The 22062-nt window shown below is 36.3% G+C and overlaps 1 protein-coding gene and 1 long non-coding RNA gene across 11 annotated transcripts in view; one reads left to right on the forward strand and one right to left on the reverse strand.

The window, feature by feature from the left end:
- Nucleotides 1-22062, forward strand: part of NECAB1 (N-terminal EF-hand calcium binding protein 1) — a 167619-nt gene that overhangs the window by 95434 nt on the left and 50123 nt on the right. The window lies entirely within an intron of this gene.
- The window catches only part of LOC105375634 (uncharacterized), a 109088-nt gene that overhangs the window by 42310 nt on the left and 44716 nt on the right, over nt 1-22062 (reverse strand). Inside the window, exon 1 of one of the 9 annotated variants that reach the window (XR_928393.3) lies at nt 16347-19635. The exons of 6 other annotated variants lie outside the window; for them this stretch is intronic. This is a non-coding gene — a long non-coding RNA (uncharacterized LOC105375634). Of the gene's footprint in view, nt 1-5764; nt 14794-16346; nt 19636-22062 lie in introns of those variants that run through there. 2 more of the 9 variants (XR_928397.3, XR_928398.3) reach the window with 2 other exon arrangements.

A 22062-nucleotide genomic window follows, 5' to 3' on the forward strand; every position in this document is an offset into this window, starting at 1 on the left:
AGTCTGTATATAGTCTTTAATGCCCTGACTATCTTCTCCCATTTTTTTTATCTGAACTTTGAAGCTATGCTTTACACCTATTGTTGTTACATAAGATTTCAAATTATACTTCATTACCACAAGGCAGTAATAAACTATGACTTACACTTTAGAACTTGTGTCTGAAGGGAACAAGATCATTTTCCACAAAACCAAACATAGTTTTAAAAAGCTTGAGTAGCAAAATTCCATAAATACAAACATGTAAAACATTAGCCTATTCTTACGTATTTTTAACAGAAAAGACACAAACAAGTAAGTAAATAATGTATTTAATTAATTGGCAGTACATTGATATAGGCCAGAAATAAACTTGATGTTCAGAAAAGGGAGAGGTCAGTGCTCACTGAGTAATCAGATAAAACATCAGCGAGAAGGTGAGACTCAAATGAGTCTCAAAGAATGGGCAATTTTAATAAAGGAAAAAGAGAAGAGAAGAACCTGCAGATAATGACCCTACTTTGACTTTTTAAGGAGGCAGCTATGAAGCCTAGTTCCATCAGAGGCCCTCTTTCATGTCCAGAAGAGGCTGTGGTTTACAGATGGAGGGGTCAGGTCATGCTGACTGCAGTTGGTATTTCACCTTATTTACAGTTTCTCGAATGAATGTATAAATAGCAAACTGTGATCTTGCAAATAATCTTGAATCAAGGGGACTTAAAAAAAATTCTTAACAGATTGCTAGAGCTGTGGTAGGTAGAAGCTCCAGGTCAACTGCTGGTGTACCCCAAATCCACAGAGGTCCCTATTAGTAATCATTTTTTTTCATGATTGTTTTCTATTTTCAGACAGTCCTACCAATCCTTCCTCCCCATCCCAACCAGAAATAAGGTATAGTGATAAATTATTTTTATTTTGTTTCACGTACCTATAATTTCAAATAGCCATTTTTTTCCTTTGTAGGGATTTTCTTTTATTTATCTTACTTAGATTGCTAGCGGGAACATTTATATTCCTAATAGAAAGTGGGAGTTAATTTTCTGCCTAATGAAAGGACGAGTACAAAGTACACTGTTCTATTTAAAAAGAAAAGCTGTTTTACTTTGCCCAAAAATATAGTTCTGAACTACAGTTGCCTGAGTGAACATACAGCCCCATTTCTGAAGAACTGAACTTTGAAATTCTAAAAGCTAGATAAGGGAGAGAAGTTAATGCAGACATTCATGGGGGATAAACAGCACAGTATGTGATTCCTTCTGTCACGAGAATTAAATTTGATATGACTCATTTCTTTTGCCTGAAGTGGAAAAGTGCAGAGGGAGAGATTAAAAATTGGTCTGTGTTGTGTTTCTCAGATCTGATAGGCATCAGTTATTATCATGTTGAAGTTGTTCTTTCCCATTTTTATTTACAAAAAGGAAATACTAAATATTGCAAACCAGAAATACTAAATGTTATTTGAGAATTAATTAGTTTTGGCAAAGTTCTTATTTTCAAAATAAGTACATCCAAAAGAATGTACTTTCAAAAAGAAAATGAATATGTGCAAAAAAAGCTATTATAGGTGCTTCCCCTTGGCTGCAGGACAAGAGAGCTCAGGGCCACATGGTATTGTGTGACATCCCTTTGGAATGATTTATCCCGTGACCTGTCAGTTGTGTAATAACACATGGAATGTAGTTCTAACAGCCGTGCAGGGTTATTGAATTGACTGAGATCTCTGGGAAACTTTCCTACAATTTCTTTGGATTTCAGTTTGAATTTCTGTTATGGATCATACTCACTTTTTAGGACTACCAATTATGCCACAAGCAGCCTAGTTTCTGACAGTATGGGAAGGAGATGTTTTCATCAGTTGTACATGCAGGTTTCAGAATACTGGCTGTGTATTATTACTCTGTAAGACTGAATGTCTATCTGGGAGACCACTTAGCTTTATTTTATGAACCAAAATAATAATAATAATAATGTAATAACATAGCTAACATCTATGGAGCCATTACCAGTTTCCAGGTACAATCCTAAGTACTTTTATTTTAGTAATGTATTTTATCCTAATCTTCTTGGGGTAGATTCAGTGATTATCACTGTAAGTGTAACAGGAAACGAAGACAAAAAATGTCAGCTAACGCCCTCAAGGTCACACAGCTGAGATGTGGATAGCGATCTTAAGTTGATCCCTGTGAATTGCTTTCTGGTCCTCCTTGGCATGAAGCTATTATAGTTTCTAGTCAATTTCTTGAGAAGATGACAAAAATTATGGCTGAGAAGACAGAAAATATATTGAAGGATTTGTTAGTTGTAATCGTTATCTACTGTGGAAGTTTCTGTGGGTCAGGAATCCAAGGGTGGCTTAAGTGGGTGATTCCTATTCAGAGATTATCATGAGATTGTAGTCATTTTAAGGTCCTTGAGGAGTTGCTTTTGAGCTCACTTACATGGCTGCTGACACATTCCAAGGAAATAGAGTCAGCTATGTGGCTTCCATTTGTCACCACATGGGCCTCTCCATAGGGCTGCTCCTATGATATAGTAGCTGGCTTTCTCTAAAGAAGTGATTGTAAAGAGAGAGATGGGCTGGGCGTGGTGGCTCACGCCTGTAATCCCAGCACTTTGGGAGGCCTAAGTGGGCAGATCACTTCTGCCATGTTCTATTACTAGAAGTAAGTCAATAAGTCCAGCCCACACTCAGTGGGAGCGGAATTAAACTCCACTTGTGTGTATGTATCTTTAAAACTACCATAGTGGTCAACTTTTAACTGTGTGTGTGTGAGTGTGTGTGTGTGTGTTTGTGTGTGGTGGAGTGGTGGAAGAAAATCTTTATCTGTTTTTTCCCTCCATTTATATCTACCCCATTAAAAGAAATCAAATTGATTTTTGAAACTCTGACATACATGCCTATCCCTTATATTAGTTGAATGCTTCTAATGTGGTTTGGCTGTGCCCTCACCCAAAATCTCACTTTGAATTGTAATCCCTACAATCCCCATAATCCCCTTGTGTCAAGGATGGGACCAGGTGGAGGTAATGGGATCATAGGGACTGTTTCCTCCATGCTGTTCTCGTGATAGTGAATGTGTCTCACGAGATCTGATGGTTTTATAAGCATCTGGCATTTCCCCTTCTTGCACTCCATCCTGCCACCCTGTGAAGAAGGTGCCTGATTGTCCTTTGCCTTCTGCCATGATTGTAAGTTTCCTGAGGCCTCCCCAGCAATGTGGAACTGTGAGTCAATTAAATGTCTTTTCTTTATAAATGACTTAATCTTGGGTATTTCTTCATAGCAATGTGAGAACAGACTAATACAGTAAAAATTCTGAAAGATAATGAGAATCAATTATGTTTTATCTTTAGAACTAAGCCACATATACAAATGTATATATAATGAATATATATCAATAGAGCCAAAACACATATAACAAGATGAAAAATACATTTTCCTGAGTTTGAGTTAATATTAAATATGGTCACCCTAAAACAAGTTTTTAAAGAAGTATTTTTAAACTATCAGCTTTCAAACAAAGAGGGTTCCAGATTTTAATGTCTGAAAATCCATGTCCCTGAAAAACAACTCAGTTTATTCACGGGTTCAGCAGAAATTCCATTCTAGGAAATGAAAGGAATCTAAGTTTTGCAACACAATGCCCTCAAGAGTCTCACCATAAAGCAAAATGGGTAATTTAGGACTATCTGCCATCCAAAACTTTAAGTAGATTTCATAAGAAAGGTTTAAACAACATGTGGTAAGACTAATAAATAGGAAAGCATCGCTTTGTCCAGTAAATCTGGAAAGTTATCATGGAGTAAACAGTATTGAAGATAAACTTCAAAGAGTGGAAGGTTTATGGCCGAAGATTGCTGGGAAATAATGAGAATGAAAGTCACTTCAAGGAAAAGAAGTAATAGAAACAAAAGTGTGAGAAACACAATGCATTTTCATAGAAATTTGGGGAATACAGAGTGTTTGAAGCATTAAGCAATTTTGGACATTGTGAGTGTCCAGGCTGACAGGCAAATTGGCTGAGAAATTTAGCATTTAATCATTAAGTAGCAGAGGTATATTGGAAGTTTTTGAATAATGGAAATAAAGTTGGTCACATGAGGGTCACTTAGGAAAGCTTTACTTCTCTCATATCTACTTATTTGTTTCCCAACTGTCACCTCTAAAATGAGGATAATGTTTAGTCATAATATTGATCTTTATTGTTTATTTGTAAGTTTCCTACTTACATAATATGTAGCTATTCTACATATTATGCCATTTTGTGTATATTTTTATATATTCTAGGTATTTCTATGAATTCTAGAGGGTTTTTCACAATTTTCAACAAATATTACCTATTCCCATATATAAAAAAATGTAATAGAACCAAGAATTTTTCTCATTTTAAAAAATGTCATTCTTGATCTGATTTTTTTTTTGGTTGTTGACAGTCACAGAAGGAATTAAGAAAGACAAAGTTTAGGTTATTAGTACTGAATGCTGTCCTAGTCAAGACTTTTTTTCTTTTTCTTTTTTTTTTTAGATAGGCTTTCACTCCTGTTGCGCAGGCTAGAGTGCAGTGGTGGGATCTCAGCTCATTGCAACCTCCACCTCCCAGGTTCAAGCGATTCTCCTGCCTCAGCCTCCCAAGTAGCTGGGACCACAGGAACACACCACTGTGCCTGGCTAATTTTTGTATTTTTAGTAGAGACAGGGTTTCACCATATTGCCCAGGCTGGTCTCGAACTTCTGGGCTCAAGCAATCCAGCTGCCTTGGCCTCCCACATTGCTAGGATTACAGGCATGAGCCACCACACCCAGCCTCAAGTATACTTTTATACTTGATAAAGTTTTATGTTTATCCAAACATAGCAGCTAAAGGCCAAGAATTTTTGGTTTATAATGACAGGCAAAATGGCAATTATGCAAAATGTTCAGAAAATATTTGTAAGGATTTTTCCTGGTTTTCTCAGGAGCATCAGAAGACATAGCTTATCACTCTCTTCCTTACATGGTCATGTAGTTTTTCTATATTACTTTGAATATCAGCATTTCAATGAAATAAAATTGAGGTGGGTGAGGGGTTAATACATAGGTTTTTTCTCTATTGTGGGAGAGAAATGTCCCTTGATTTTCTTCATCATTCAGTCAAATATGAGCATTAATAGCTATAATAGCTATCTAACTATAATAAACATTGATAGCATCATAATTTCCATTTTCATAAAAAACATTGGCTAAGTATCACATCTATCAAATTTTCTTTGTAACATACAATATTTAAAATGATGTTTTAACAGTAAATAAATATTTTAAATGAAAAAGAAATGACCTATGTGATTATTAACCCCCGCAAAAGGTGATTGTCATATTTGTACCCCCTTTAGATCTTTGTTGCCTTGTGCTCTTTGCTTTATTCTCTACGATCAAGTCAGTCACCTACTCCTAATGATTTTGTCCTTAATGTTGGTCACGTCCATCTTCTTCCCTCGCAACCCACTGTCTGGGCCACATGAGGCAGAGCCTCCTTGACTCGCACAGGGATTCCTTGTCACAGCACCGAAGTCATTATTTTTCATCCAGTGTTGTCTACAGACCATGCTCCATCCTGCTGGATGAGACATCTTTCCAAAAAATAAGACTGTCCCTCACCTCCTTAAAACCTTACATTGGCTCCTCATTGACCTCAGGACAAAGTCTAGACTCTTTGCCCAGAGCACACAGGCCCACCCAAATCTGAGCCTTCCCTGCTCATCTGGTACCCTCCCCATCTCTCTAGTTCCACCTCGTGCCAGTCCTTACCAGATGATTTTCTCTCCAGCTATGCTCAGCCATTTGCACTTCTCTGAGTTCCCCACCATCTCTGTCTCCCAACTGGATCTTGCCATATAGTGATCCTTGCTTGTGGATGACATCATTCTGCCCTCCCTAGGTCCTTCCTCAGGGCTCCTCCAGTTACCTACTTGCTCTTCATCTGGCTGGTCCTCTAATATTCCTGGTGATACTACGGGACTTAGCTTAACTGTCACTTCCCCTAGGAATCCTTTCTTGATCCTCCAAGTGGGGTGTCGGTGGGGGTAGAGGGGAGATTAGGTGTTTTCAAACCGCCTCTTGCACATCCCCATGGTAGCTCCTTTTACTTTTTACTTGTCTGTCATCCCAACTGTCTTGAAGTGTCTTCTCTCTCACTGTATCACCGACAGCTACTAGTTAAGGCACTCAGTTAATTTTTAAAAATATATATCGGCTCCCAGGGGAGCTGCGGATGTGATGAAGATCACTGATGATCATGAATCAATCACCCGGAAGGGAAGAGCGACTTGGCGACCACAATCCAATTCTGGACAGATGGACAGCCCAGATGGGTGTCCCTTCCAAGGGACTAGGGAGAACGTGAAAAGGGAGCAGATTTCTTGAATACACATCCCCAGACTGTTTCTAAAATTTGGAAGGATTGCTTGTCCAGAGCAACACAATACTCTTTCTGAACTCACCAACTCATGGGGTGAAAACTGTCTATCTCCATCCTGCCTGAATTCCAGCAGTGCAGGAGGCAATCAGGGCCCCCTGCAATGGGCCAGATGGAATTTATGGCTAGCTGGGGAGGTCTGGGGAAAAGAAAGGGATTAGCAGTTTTAATCCTAGTGCTCATACAGTTTTGCATTTTGTAAAGAATGCTATTTTTTTTTTAATTATAGTCAACATCAACTATTCTCATGGTTGGATTTTTTTCTTCAGTTCATTATGTTGAATTTGCCTTTTAAATGATTTTACCTATGACACATCTTTAGTTCATGATCTGCTCTGACATTTTGAGAGCTGTAACCAAGATTATAATGTGGCAGGACATGATAGGCATAGGTGAGTAATATTTTTAGAATTTCTTAGAAACAGAGGCTGATTTTCATGCTGATAACCTAAAAAGCAAGGAGGAGAAATAGACACATATAGCATAAATATCATATAAAGTGGACAAATAACATATTTAATTGTATATTTCTAACAGTTCCAGACACATTTTTTCTCACATAAATATTTTTAATAATGGTTATGCTAAACAGAGACCAATTCTTCCTTAATATATAAGGAAATACATGATATTAGAAGAATAAAACTATTTTCACTTCCTTGTTAATTCTGCCTTTGAGTTCTGCATAGGTCATTTATATACATTAAAATATGGAAAACTACCTCTCACTCCCCAAACTATACAAATCAGAATATGTGGGATAAATGGAGAGATGTCTCCAGAAATAACAATTTCATACTTAGGAAAAACTTGATATGATTCCTAGCTCTGCTACTTGCTAGCATATGCCCAAGTTAATCTTTTTGCCTTCATTTCTTTCATTGTCAGATGTTGGGAGGATAAAATGATATAATGCATGTAGGGGGTCTAGTACTGCAAGTGGCCCATAATAGGCACAATATAGGCATAATAGTCATGGGACTAGTTATCTTTCTACTTCCAAGGTCATTCTCAAGTTTCATACTTTGTTATTGGAAACAATTGCTAAACATGTGGCTTGGTGCTTTATATGGATATGATGGATTCTTTCTTACAACAACAACCAAAATATTTTATTTCTATAAGGTAGAGGGGAGAATTCAACAGAGCAGCTAACTAATAATCTAAGTAAAAATTTGGAATGTTGACCCTTCAGAGAAAATTTTAACCTTAAGTCAGAATTTTACATGCTGATTTTTTTAGATAAACAGATAATAAGTGTAAGTGCTTCATGAGACTTCCCTTCATTTTAAGGATATACATTTCAGCTGATCTATGACAACCAAATCAATAGTTTAATGAAGCACAGGGGCTTGTTTCTGGGAGAACTTCAGTCTGGTGAATGCATAGAGATGCATGTATTTCCCTGAGTGATTGACTAAGCTGCTGCTTATGGGAACAGACACATATGATTGCATAGAGGCACAAATGTCTGTTAAGAAAATTATCAAAAGTAAACAGAAATTAATTCATAAAAATATAAAGGAACAACTAAAAGGGAAGCACAGCACCTAGTCAGCCATCTCCTTGTTAATATGATGAAAACAGATCATCTGCAGTGACAGAACATATACTCCTACAACACTCTTGGAAGCACAAAGGAGGTATGTGAGACCTAGCTACCAAAACTATAAATAACTCCAGGAGCAGAACTCAGTGTCTCTGAATCCCAGAGAAAGAAAACAGAAAAAGTAGTCTCAACACTGAGGAAGCATAGGAATCTTTTGAAAAGCAAAAAAGAAACAAACCAAAGGCATGTATGTACAGAGCAGGTGCCACCTCAAATCCAGTTTAATAGACACAAAAAGCACCTACTGTGTTCAGAGTGTTGCCATGTGCTAGTAATCAAAAGGAATATAATAGGAAACAAAAATTAGCCTTTGCTCTCCAATCAAATAATATAATAACAGCATTTTCTACTGTCTTGATCATTTTGTTGCAGGTTTATTTTTCAGCAGATAGAAAAAGTGATTATGTATTTGATAAAGAGAAACAGATTAGGAAATTCTGTGAAGCCCCCTTCCTTGCCCCATGAAGTTAAATGAAAATTAGTCAGATTTGTGGCCTCTTCAAAGAGAGGAGTGCTGAGTGGAACTGGCCTGTGGCCATAGAGGAAGTATTCCATAGAGAAGTATTCTGTACAATAGATCTGTGGCAGTAGCTGAAAGGGACTGTTTTCCTTCCTTTAATTGTAACTTTCTACTCCCTTTTATGTTTTCTCATGTAAATCAGAGGCACAATTAAAGCTCAACGAGCTGATGTCAGTAGGAGAATAATTTTTTCAAGTTACTCATTTTAGACCAAGTTTTGTGCAAAGTCTGTATTTTATGCAGCCTAAGAGACATTCTGCAGATGAGTCTTAAGAATTTACCTCACACCCGTAATAGGTATACTTATTCTTGTCGGGTGCTGTGTCATACCATGCATCCGTAAGTCGATGCAGAGGTTCATAAAAACGGCACTTACTAAAACCTCCCTTAGCTATCCTCCACCTTATCCAGAGAAGCTTCTTCTTTTGGAAAATCAAGCAAAACAACTAAGCTAAGACATGTTTAAAAAGTTTGAAAAGAAAGCTGTAAGGAAATACAAGAGGAAGAGTTGTTAGGTATGAGTTCTAAATTTCTTTTCAAAGAATTAATATGTCGGCCGGGCGAGGTGGTTCACGCCTGTAATCCCAGCACTTTGGGAGGCCGAGGCAGGCGGATCACAAGGTCAGGAGATCGAGACCATCCTGGCTAACATGGTGAAACCCCGTCTCTACTAAAAATACAAAAAAATTAGCCGGGCGTGGTGGCGGGTGCCTGTAGTCCCAGCTACTCAGGAGGCTGAGGCAGAAGAATGGCGGGAACCCGGGAGGCGGAGCTTGCAGTGAACCGAGATCGTGCCACTGCACTCCAGCCTGGGCGACAGAGCGAGACTCCGTCTCAAAAAAAAACAAAAACAAAAACAAAAACAAAAAAAACAAACAAACTAATACGTCAGTATGTTCAATTCTCTGCCTTCTACTTTTAAACTTAACTTCCTCGTAAAGCAATCTTTTTCGATTATCTACTCCACCCTGACTCATCCTGATTACCTACTCCACCCTGACTCATTCCGATTACCTACTCCACTCTAACTCATTCGGATCACCTGCTCCACCCTAACTCATTCTGATTACCTGCTACCTGCTCTGCCCTGACTCCCGCCAAAGCACTCACCACTTCATTCTCTTTAAATTAGCCAATTAGAATTAGTTTAGCCTGTGAGGTCTAACCCTAGCCAATAGGGGAACGACACAGCAGCAGGGGTGACGTGCGTCAGGGATAAGAACCCCTTGCCCTCCCTTCTCCAAGTGTGCACTCCATTGTTCCTTCTATATAGAAGTACCTTGCTTTGCTGAGAAAAAGAAAATTTAAAAAAAATAATTAAAAAAAAGAATTTAGCAGGTAGAAAGCAGCAATAAAATTTTCTTCTTCAATTACAAGCCAAATTATTGGCAACTCTTCCTCTTCGGTTCCCACAATCCTTAAGAGGATCCTTTGAGGGGCACAGATTTACTATAGGTCCACCACTTATCTGCGATTCCAAAATCCAAAAGCTTCTGAAAATGGAATGTTTTGGTTTTGTTGTTGTTGTTTGGTAAACTTAGCACCAAAGTCCATTTGGTAGCAAAATCTATTTTAATATTAAGAATTTTGCTGCAAAACTACCAATATGGTCATTACAGGGTACTGCTCTAGACCCTGCTGTGGGTATTATATAATTACATGACATATGCTAGGTGTTACCTCTCTAGACCCTGAAAAATTCTGAACTTTGAAATGTATCTGGCTCAATGGTTTCAATAAAAAATTAAGATGGCTATGTCATTATATATGTTATGGAAATGGATGTTCTAATTATTTTTTCAGACTATCAGATTGCATGCTTCAGCAATGCTGAAATGTAATACTATCTTATGTTTAAAAAACAAAGTAAAACAAAAAACTATCAATTCTTTGAAAAGTTTATTGCATTTCAAAGAGCAGTCAAATAATATGCATAGACAAGTGAAAATTGACCCCCAGTGGTCTGGGGAAAATGTAAATGAACTTATTAACGTTTCAAAAATGACACTTTAGGAGACTCAACTGATAATGCTTGTGGCAAGTGTATTGGCGTGAAATAAATGAAGAATGCCTTCATTTGTAGGCTTAATTTACTAAAAGAAATCAGGACTTACCTCCTGTAAGTCACTGTTGGCAGATGATTTAAATGGCTGTGAGAGTAATCATTTGATTTAAAGAATAATTCCTTTTTATGTTTTACTATTGCTACAGAATAAGATTATCATCTCTTTATAAGCTTTTTATCCTCTGTCATTTTCTGTAGTAGCTTTCCTACTTATAGCCTGTATCTTCTTTGGAGGTAATATGACCTCAAATTTGTTCCTTGCCTATAGAACATCTCTGTAATCAAATTACAGTTGAGAAAAGCCCATGATTACACACCTCACTATCAGGCTGCATTTTGAGTGATAGTGGAAAAAAGAACTACCAAGCCTGGCTGCTCCCATGAGAATAAGTTTAGATAGGAAGTCAAGGCTCACCCCAATGCTCTCTCTCAAGTCTCACCTCCCCTCTTCCATCACTACCACCACTCAGTGCCCCAAATCCAAATTTAAAATATAGCCTTGTCTTTAGACTTAGAGTAGCACAACTTTTGTATTTAAATCAATATTGTCCCATTTCACTGAGATTAGACATCATATTAACTATTTGGGAATCTGTAAAACCACAGGACCCTAAAAAATTAACACATTTGATATTTGGGGCCACCTAGAACTGACAGTCTCCAGAAGGCCTAAAACTTCAACAGAAGTAGCAGCTCCAAGTGAGTTTGAAGCCTAGTTGCTGCTTGGACTGTGCTTCCTATTCCAATACCCCTGTCTTCTTCTCTTGCCTGGCTCATTGCATCTTCTATAATGCCCAGTATCTCATACCCATCTGTCCTTTTCACACTTAATTCAGTGTTTATTGAGAAAGAGACAGCTACTATTTATTGAGCATAATACATGTTGACCACAGTGCATACATTATCTCAATTAGTCTTTTAGCCCAACTGCACTGAGTCACTCTCACAGTCAGGCACCTGGTACATGGTAGGTACACAATCTACTTTCCTCAGCTCTCTCTTCACCTTCCTAATAGTTCATTTGTCTCATCCCAACTGAGATTCGTTCATGTGGCACAAGTATTTATGGAATACTGTGTCTGCTCAAATCCTCTAGAAACAGAAGCCAAGTGCAAGAGATATGTTGGGAGAAATGCCCTTGGAAGGTAAAGGGGAGAGGGAACAAGAGCAGTGGGAAGATCCTTCAGGCTGCCCTGCAGGTCTGGCACCTGTGAAAAGAGGAGGAAATGGAAGTTGGGCTGGCAGAGAGCCTCTGACAAAGTTTTGGCTATGCCAGTGGGACGCCCGAGGGCAAAGACTGCTCATAAGAGGAGTCCCCCCTGACTTACACCATCCTTAGTCCTTGGCAAGGAATACTGGAGAGGATGTGGCTTCAGCATGAACACTGCTGATCCCCAAGGTGTGGCAGCTGGAGATGGGTAGTTAAGCATACTTAAAACAGTTTCTCTCTGTGGTCCCTTGGTGACTGCCATAGTGTATACCAGGATGTGATTTGAGGAACATGGGCAAAAATTCAAGAATCTGTGAAAATTCAGCTTTAAAGATCCACTTCTCTTACTCTCAAAGGTTTTTCAGTCTTTAAGAGTCTAGTCTTTACAAGTTTTTAAAAGTAAATATCCCTGGGAATAGAAAGATCTAAAGTCCTAGTTACTGAATAACTTAGCAGAGGGTAGTTAAAAGCTCACTAAAAGTAAAGAGATGGGACCCAAAATTTATTTGAGCTGGAGCAAGTTTAGAAACTCTGGAACAGAGAGATGTGCAGAAAGAAATAGTGATGAACCAAAAACCAATTCCCTAGGTTTAGCTTTGCCATAGTTTAAAATATGTTGATGCTCAAATCTTGTCCCTCATGTGTGTGATATTGTACAGTACATTTGATTTTTGTATGTGTTTATTATACCTTTGATTCAGAAAGGTTTACAATGCTTCCTTCTTTGTCATAAGAAACTCATAATTCAGGTGGGTGCTTGTTTCTTATACCAGCATGAAGCTAAACATAATAGTTTGAAACTATTGAAAATATTGAAACAGAATAGTTCTGAAAATATTATTTTCAGAATATTCTGGGACCTTAACTGCACAGTATGTAGGAAGAAAGGAAACATTCCTTCCTCCCTACAGTCTGATACACTAGTGAGAATAATAAGCATTACTAAAACAACAATGAGCACTCAATGGGGAGCCTTGAAGAGTACCTTAGTGTTTAATACAGTGCTGTAAAGGCATGAACCTTTCCCCTGCCTTTCTCTATGAGTAAACTTAGTGTTGCTGCATTTTCCTTATTAGAATTATTTTCATTTCATTAGTAAAATAGGCAGTTGTTCGGGAGTAGAGCAACTGACCTTAGTCTTTATATACCAATATGGGATGATTCAAGGGTCATGTGAAATGTCAAGCTACACACAACAGAACAAGCATAATTCTGTGTACTCTGAATCTTCCCACATTGATCACTTTTGAGGCCAGAAAGTAACAACAGAAGGGTAGAGTAGGCATGACAGAATTGCTTCACCAATGGAACAAAGAGGAAAAATGGTTCTTTTCTTCTTCAACTCTAGATGAACCAGTGAACACAGACTTAGCCAGTTCCAGGATGGAAACTGAGCCCCATGTTCTCATTTCATATATTTGAGAAAACAAACACAAAGGGGTTAGTAGACTTGCCTAAAATCATAGTATGAGTCAATGGCAAAGCCCATAACCCAGTGTAGAATCTTATCCTCTATAAGGGTAGGAAAAGTATTATTCAGAATTGGGTAGAATTAGTTCTTTCCCTTCCAATCACTAAACTGTTAACACAATGCCTCTTGGGAGCATAATTAAGACTATCACTATAACCTTCCAGGTACAGGATTCTTTATCTGTTGCCATGGCAAAGGAGCAAAATCTAAGCCCCTGATTAAAATGAATGCTTTTGTAAGAAATAATCAAGATCCCTGTCAGGGTTTCATCACGCTCTTATACTCTTTGTCATTTTTTTATATGACCCCAAGCCTGGGGCTCAAAGTGCCTACTTGAAATTTCTTTTTGTTGTTTGTATAATAACTGAATTAGTTTTGCTCCAGCAGTTTCTTGATGATTTTTCAGTAAGATAAAGGTACTTTAATCAGTCTAAATACTTGAACATTTTTATTTCAGTGGTAAAAAATAGACTGAGGCAGAGTGAAGTTATAAATTAGAATCTAAAAATTTACCCTTCAACATTAATATTTTTTAGTGCTCTAATATAAAACACAGAAAACCTATCTCAAATATAAAAGATGAATATAAAATTATTAATTAAACAACTGGCAGCCTGGAGATATTCATTCCAGCATAGGCTTTGATAAATCTTTTCCTGAAGGCAGTTAAACCTTTTTGAGAAAAACCTTCTGAGGCTGATATGATTTAAGTCTCTCTGTTAAAAAAAAAAAAAAAATGGTGTTTATAAATTATGCTGCCTTTTTGCTACTCTCAGCTTAAATAGATGATGTTTCCTTTCCTTTTTTAATTGCTGGTTTTCAGCTTTGAAAAGCTTTCCTTCCAGCGGTGCCCTCAAGGGCACAGTTTTATAATCAAGAGCCTTTGACCCTTGTAGCCTCATGAGACTAGAACCCACTGTTTCTCTCCAGGTATGTTTAACACAGACCTGGGAACAATCGAAAAGCTTTTCGTGTTTTGTGCTTTAAACATCTTTTGATAAAATGGTGCAGGAAAATGACACCAGTATTCTAGTCTAGCCGAGGAGAGCTATGTGGTCTTCAGCAAGTCTCCTTAATTTATCTGGCCTTCCTTTTGAAAATGAGCAATTTGTATTCAGTGGTTCCTTCTAGCTCTATGTCTTTAGTGGGTTTGCTGATTGCCTGTGAAATTTGTATAGTACGACCATTTGACCCTGAATTTTGTTTTTCGCTTCAACAGACTATGTATACTCTGTTCTTGTCATTAATTGAATAGTATCGCTCTCTCACACTAACTTGAGCCTTGTAGTTACACACATTTAATGGAGGAATGAGAATGTTCCTTCATTAGCAAACCCTATCTATATTTAGTGTTTGGCTAAAACCTCGTTTGCACTCTCTGTATTTGTGTGTGTGTGTGTGTGTGTGTTAATGTTACATAAGTATTTGTTGAAGCATTTTAATCTATACTGCAAAAGGATGTTTTATTTCCTTCTTTAATGTACTTTGCACAGTTATATTTACAAAGGAATATTCTATAAATAATAGAGGTACTAATCCACATATTTTATTCTTTCTCTTAAAAATAAGAAAAGCCTATTTTTTGAAACTTCTCAGATTGTTCTGTTATGAAACATCACTACTGGCTGGGTGTGGTGGTTCACACCTGTAATCCCAGCACTTTGGGAGGCCGAGGAGGGTGGATCACTTGAGGTCAGGAGTTTGAGACCAGCCTGGACAACAGGGTGAAACCCTGCCTCTAGTAAAAATACAAAAATTAGCCAAGCACAATGGCACATGCCTGTAGTCCCAACTATTCGGGTGGCTGAGGTAGGAGAATCGCTTGAACCCAGGAGGCAGAAGTTGCAGTGAGCCAAGATCCACTGCCACTGCACTCCAGCCTGGGAGACAGAGTGAGACTCTAAAAAAACAAACGAACAAACAATTATTACTATTAAGTTACATACGTAGAAAAGGAGTCAATTGAATTACGTTGTACTTACTAATGCAAAGGGGCTCTCTGTCTCTCTTCATGTGTGTATAACACACACATAAATTATATATATAATGTACCTGTACACACATTTTACAGTTTATATTCTATAAATGTTCAAGTTTATCAATAGTTAAATAAATATAAATTAAATTGACAATAAAACATACTTCTATCAATTAAAAATGTTTAAAATAATAATGCCAATTGTTCAAAAACACAGGAAAATGAAGACTCTTAAACATGATAATGGGACTTTAAATTAGTACTACCTGTAGGAGGGCAAACTTAGTGACCTTCTACCTGTAGGAGGGCAAATGTGAGAAAATATGTCTCACATTTTCAATTTAGGTATTATTCTACCTAGTAATTTCATTTCTAGAACATTAACTCGGAAATAATTTAGTATGTATACAAGGAATATTCACCATATAAATGTTTATACTAAGAAAAATTAGACAACTATCTTTAGTTTATATTCAACAATATGAGATTGATGAATAAATTATAAATATAAAATATACTATTTGGCTATTAAAAACTATATCATATATGAATACAATTGACATGGAAAGATGTATGTATTTTTATGTGCAAATAACTGATTTAAAATGTACATGTAGTTGGTTTTGAAAAAACAATATATTATAGATATTTCAATAGCTTTATTGAGTTATAATTTATATACCATAAAATTAACCAAGTGTAAGCATACAATTAAATATTTTTATTAAATTTATAGAGTTATACAACGACCACTGCAATCCCATTTTAGAACAATTTTTTAAAAATATTTTATGTTGCCAATCTGTATTTTCTAATTTATAACATTGCTACTTCAAAAGTGAAAGTTATTTATATTTTTAATTTAAAATTTTCATACAGCTTTATCTGCAGAAAAAAACATGTCACATATCTTTTCAACCACTTTAGTCTGTAATTGTAGGTTTGTTATAATAAAAGTCAGTAGAGTTTTAAGGTAGTTACTAAAAACAGTTGCTTTTTATTTGTTAATTTTTTCTATGGATCAATGATTACTTACTCATGAACAAAAAAGTCAAAACTTACCTGTTAGCTATCTGACTTTAGGCAGATTACTTTATCTCTTATGACAAGTTTGGGAGGTCCAAATAAATGAATCCATAGAAAATACTTAGCAACTTCTGTTTATAGCAGTTTGGGGGAAGAGATTCTTTCAACAATTCTGTTGCTGAAACAAACTAAAAATAATGGATAGAATATATTTTTACATTTCTGAAATGTATCCAAGCCCTGGCAAGAAAGCAAAGACTTCTCAGAGGCCAAAATGTAAGTGAAAGAGGGAACACAAAGAAATAAGCAGTAGGAAGTGGCTTTAATTCATTGACCTTACATTTCAGTTTTGAAGACTTTCAGCACTGGGGCAAGAGAAAGCGTAGCCACCAGCACCCCGCAAGGTAAGGATTCTGATAACAACCTTCTGCAAAAACTTGGAACCCAAAAGCCTTTACTGTTCCTCGAAAGGAAAGTTACCCCTAGTGATCCAGGGCACCAAATAAACAAAGGGGGAAAGAAGTCTGCCCTGAGAATTTATAACTGCAAGTCAGCCCTCATGTAAATGTGCAGGCCAAATCACTTTCCTGGGTGGAGGGGAAAGCCTCAAGCCAAGAATTTAATTTAAAATTATTCCAAGATGATGGTGCCCCCAGATACTGGACAAAAGCAAAATCAAATTCTCTCTTAATCTAGATCTGGTAAAATTTCCACAGATTAATCCTGCAAGGAATATGTACTGAAAGCAAAAAAAAAAATCTCAAAACATACTTCAGACAGTATTAAAAGACTTTATATATTGAAATCATCAGCTAAATAATAAGTATGTTAATATATTTATATAAATATATGTGGGATTAAAAATAGGAGAAATGAGCAAGATATAAAAAAGACAAAACAAATTTGAGAAAGCACAAAAAGATTTGCTAAACATTTAAAAAATACAATAATTGAAATGAAAACATCAGGAAACCAGTTTTACGGTAGATTAAATAGAGTAGAAAAGAGAATTAGTGAACTAGAGGACACAACTGAAGATACCACAGAGAATGTGACTTAGAGAGACAAAGATTTAGAAAATAGAAAAGAAGTTAAGAGACCTAGAAGATTGAGTGGGAAGGTCCAATATACCTCTAAGCAAATTTCCAAAAGAATTAATGAGAAAATTAGCAGAGAAGACAAATAATAAAAAAAATTGTATATCTATAAACCAACAATAGTTAGAACATGTATAGAAACCTAATTTATGATGGATCTGGCAAAAATGTATAGAAATCTTACTTGTGAAAGAGCTGACATGACATATCAGTGCCAAAAAAAATACTGGACTGTTCAATAAATGGTGCTAGAAAAATGACTTATCTATATGAAAACAAAAGAGTTAAATTCTGAATCCATACACAAAAATCAATCCCAGTTTAAGACTTACATGTGTAAAAATTTAAGTTTTAGTATAGAAGAAAATAGTTTAATGACTAGAGTAAGAAGGATTTCTTAAACAAGATGCAAAATATAAACTATACCTTTAGAACATAGTATGGCATAACTTTCACTTTATTAAGTTGTATATCAAAAGACAGCACTTACAAATTGAAAAAACAAACAAACCAAGAGAATTTGCAAAACTTAACTACCAAGGGCTGGTGTTAAAAACATTTAAACAAATGCTATAAATCAATAAGGAAAAATTAGAATACATAATAGCAAATGATTTGGCAAAATACAGGAACAGGAACTTCAGAAAGAAGCCAGGGAAAGTCCAATATAGCTATGAAGAATTACTGAAACTCTTGTTTGCAGAGAGTTGTAATGTGCAGTGTTGGGCAATTGTGACTTATCTTAAGCCAAGTTAGTGCAGTGGTTCAAGAGGTCCGTGCAGATAATTTAGCACTTGTACCCTAGAGTTTAAGTGTCTGGTGGAAGACAGAAGAGCAAGCCTGCACAGTTAATAGCCACAGGTTCATAGGCAGTTGGAACAAGGATTCATACATATTGTTTTAGCTGTGGATTTCAAGAAAGGAGAGAAAGAAAAAAAATTGCAGATTAATTGTTCTATTATTTTCTAAGGTTTTACTATATTGCATCTGGGTGCTAATTTCATCTGTGCTGCTGGGCATCTGCTGTGATTTCTGACTCTGAAGAGTCATACCTTTGTTTAATACTGCAAAATTATCAGCAATTGTCTCTTTTCTGTTCTCTTTGTTCTCCTCTTAGAACTCCTTATATGTAAGTTAAATACTCTCGTTCTCTTCTCTGTCACTTCTATTTCATATTGTTCATCTCTCTGCTTCAGTTTGGATAATTACTTCAGATTAATATTCTAGTTCCTAATTATTCTTCATCTGTATCTAATCTATTTCACATATCCATTGGATGTTTATTTTTTGGAAGTTCTTACTGCCTCTTTTGAAAACTGCCCGGTTTCTTGCAATAGTCTCTCACTCCTTTCTCCTGCTTTTCATTACCCTTTTTATGTCTTTGAACATTTGAAGCATATTATCGCTGACTCTTTTTTATGATACTTTTTTTCTTTGTGTGATATGGATATGTGCGGGTAGATTGGCATTTTTCCACTATTAGTTTATACTTGGCTGATTAAATCATTGGGGATTTGATGTATTTCTTTACGGAGAATATGTTTTTGTTTATGCCAGCTGCCTCAACATACTACCAATACAGAACTGAGGTGAGTTAATCTCTCAGTTTTGGGCTTCCCTGAATATGCAGGTATAGGAGTTCGAACCTCAGACTGCTGAGTGGACTGAATCTTGATTTTAGGTTTTCAGGAGAGAGTTTTGCACCCAGAATTAAGACTGAGAAGACTTATTTGTCATCTTCCTTTGTTCACGCATAGAGTTTTTTTCCCAGCTCTCTTTTAGTAAAAATGTGGTCCTTTGAGTGTTCCAGCTTCAACCCCCTACCTTGACTCATCCTCTGTTCTTCCAAAAGTTGTTAAAATCTGGAACTTAAGAGTCTCCAGTTAAAGAAAATGCCTACAGTAGAGCAAGGCCTTCAATGCAAGATTACTGTCAGTCTCTTTGTCTCCTGTTCATTGTTGACGCTCTTGGTTTTCTCTTATGTTCTTAGAAGCTTTGTTGTACATTCAAATAATATTTGCCACACTTTACCTTTTATAGTGCATTCTATAGAAGGAGTATTTTAGGATACTTAACTAATCCTAATGCCAAAATTGGAACTTTCAGAAATTTTGTTTAATGTAAATATTACCTTCCAATTTATCAATAAGACATTCAGAACTAATTTTAAGTAGTCTGTATAGTCATCTAGAAACCTTTTTCAGAAAGGAGGATGCAGGTAGATTTGAATAATCCACCTTTTCCTTACATATGATATACACATATATATATATATATATATATATATATATATATCTTCTCACTTTATTGCTCTGGCTGGAGTGCAGTGGTGCAAACATGGCTCACTGCAGCCTCGACCTCCTGGACTCAAGCGATCATCCCATCTCAGCCTCCTGAGTAGCTGGGACCACAGGCACATGCCACCATGCCTGGCTAATTTCCCATATCATATATATTTTTAATAATGAAAATTTGAGGGTCTTTACTTCTTATAATCCACCCAATTTTGTGTGTGTGTGTGTGTGTGTGTGTGTGTGAGAGAGAGAGAGAGAGAGAGAGAGAGAGAGAGAGAGAATTAGTAGACTGCATTGTTTTAGCTAGCTAATACTATGAACTCTTGGCTTATTTTTCCAGATGACCATTAAAATTCCAGTTAGCTTCTGAGCCTGTCTAGATACTCCTAAAATGCCAGGAGACCTTGACACAAACTCAATGCTAAGAAAGGCAAGCCCAGGCTATGATTTCAGGCTATAGCCAGTCTCTTATGTTACCCAGTCATTTTCTTGAACATGTGTGAGAAATAGTGCTGTCTTTCAATCCTGATTTCTAAATGTGGGATATAGAACACAATAAAGTTACAGGTACAGACAGATCATCCACACCCCTTGCTTTCAGTCACAGGCCATATTGAAATGTAATAAAAAATACAATGTATTTCACTATTTCTAGGATACATATGTTTCCTTTTTCTGACAGCTATGAAATTGGGATATATCTATCAATTGATGGTGCATAAAAGTTAACTGGTGATATTGTTATTTCCTTGTGGTGTATAAAATACCAAAATAGTGGTGCATCTTATAATTAATGGCACTTTATATTTGATGAAGTACAGTATTTTGGTTTTTAAATCCCACTGGAAAAAAAAGTCTTACCTGTTTGTTATTCTGAGCAAGTTATCTATTCCCAAAGGTTATTTTTTCCTGAATAAAAAATTACCAGAATATTTTGGTATTCTTTCATAGTGAGCCACAAGGGAAAATTAAATCCAGAAATGTGTCAGTTTTCACATATTTATAAACTACTATTTTCCATACACTATGCTGTTTAGAAATGCTCATAATATTTTAATGTTCAATTATTCTTCTGTCACAAAATTTGTTTAGATCAAAAGCAAGGATAATTCGCCTTTGAAAGCACAGAGATCATATATGATATTTTGAAAAATGTATTTGTGTCTGACAAATTTAGTAACTTAGGCCTATTAACTCAACATATTATAGGACTGTGGTTAAAATAGAACTATCCATCTGACACATATACTGTTTAGGAACAGTAACATTACAAATGAGTGTTATCCTTTGAGTATCATTTATGTCAACTTTGTCTCATGTGTATTCCACAAGCTTAAAAATGATATTCAAAGAAAAGTGTGTGAGCAATAAGGTGGAAAGCAGTGTATTTATGGGGAAGAAATTTTGGTGATATTTTATCATCAATATCAACAAACATAAATTGAATCCAATTTATGTACGAACATAGTTCTGTGCTCTTCATACTTAAAAACGTAACATTTGGTTCTACGTTACACTCCAGAAAAATGCATGCTAGCAGTTGAGAAGATGGCATATAAGAGGTGTTAAAAATTACTAATTTGGAAGTGTTTACAGATTTTCTTGTCCTACTGCCTGCCAAAGAGTCCTGTATTTTACAGCCCCTATCTGTCTACTCCACAGCTCCTCAAACATATGAATATAGTATATTTCTACTAGACTGGTTCCTACACATACCTTAACCTTTTTATTGTAAAACAAAACAAAAAGGAAAGCCACACAAATCAAATGTAGAACTTCATGATCATAAGGCAAACACTCTTGAATCCATCACCAAGATTTTAGAAACCTGACCTACCAGTTACCCCAGAAGTCTTTCCACATGCTCTGTCCCAATTATGATTCCTCCTTCCCCTGAAAATAACTACCAATGGATCCTTCTAGTAGTCACTTCCTTGTGTTTTATTATGGTTTTATTACACAGATTTTCATTCCCAGAAACTGTAGTTAAATTGTACTCATTTTCTCTGTATTGCATTTCTTTTAATTTATAGGCTATCTTGCAATCGCTTTTATTTATATATTTTTACAGTTTATCCGTTACAGAGCCCAGAGAGGTGCTTATGCTCATGGTTTAGGCTTTACTGATTGCCAATCATGGTACAAGTAAGCACGTTCTTCTGAACTCTATCTTTGCTAGAAATTGTCAGCTAAATCCAGAGGCTAATTTGACAAAACTATAGTGGATAGTGTGTTCTCCTGTCAAGGATCACATCTTTTAGTTGTTTTTATTTTTGAGGTTGGCAGCCTTTGATACTCAGTGACTGAAATAGTGATCAGCAAACTCCAGCCATTGGCCAAATTCTGCCAGTCATATATTTT

The sequence above is a fragment of the Homo sapiens genome, chromosome 8, assembly GCF_000001405.40.
Source record: "Homo sapiens chromosome 8, GRCh38.p14 Primary Assembly".
In the NCBI taxonomy this organism is placed as follows: domain Eukaryota; kingdom Metazoa; phylum Chordata; class Mammalia; order Primates; family Hominidae; genus Homo; species Homo sapiens.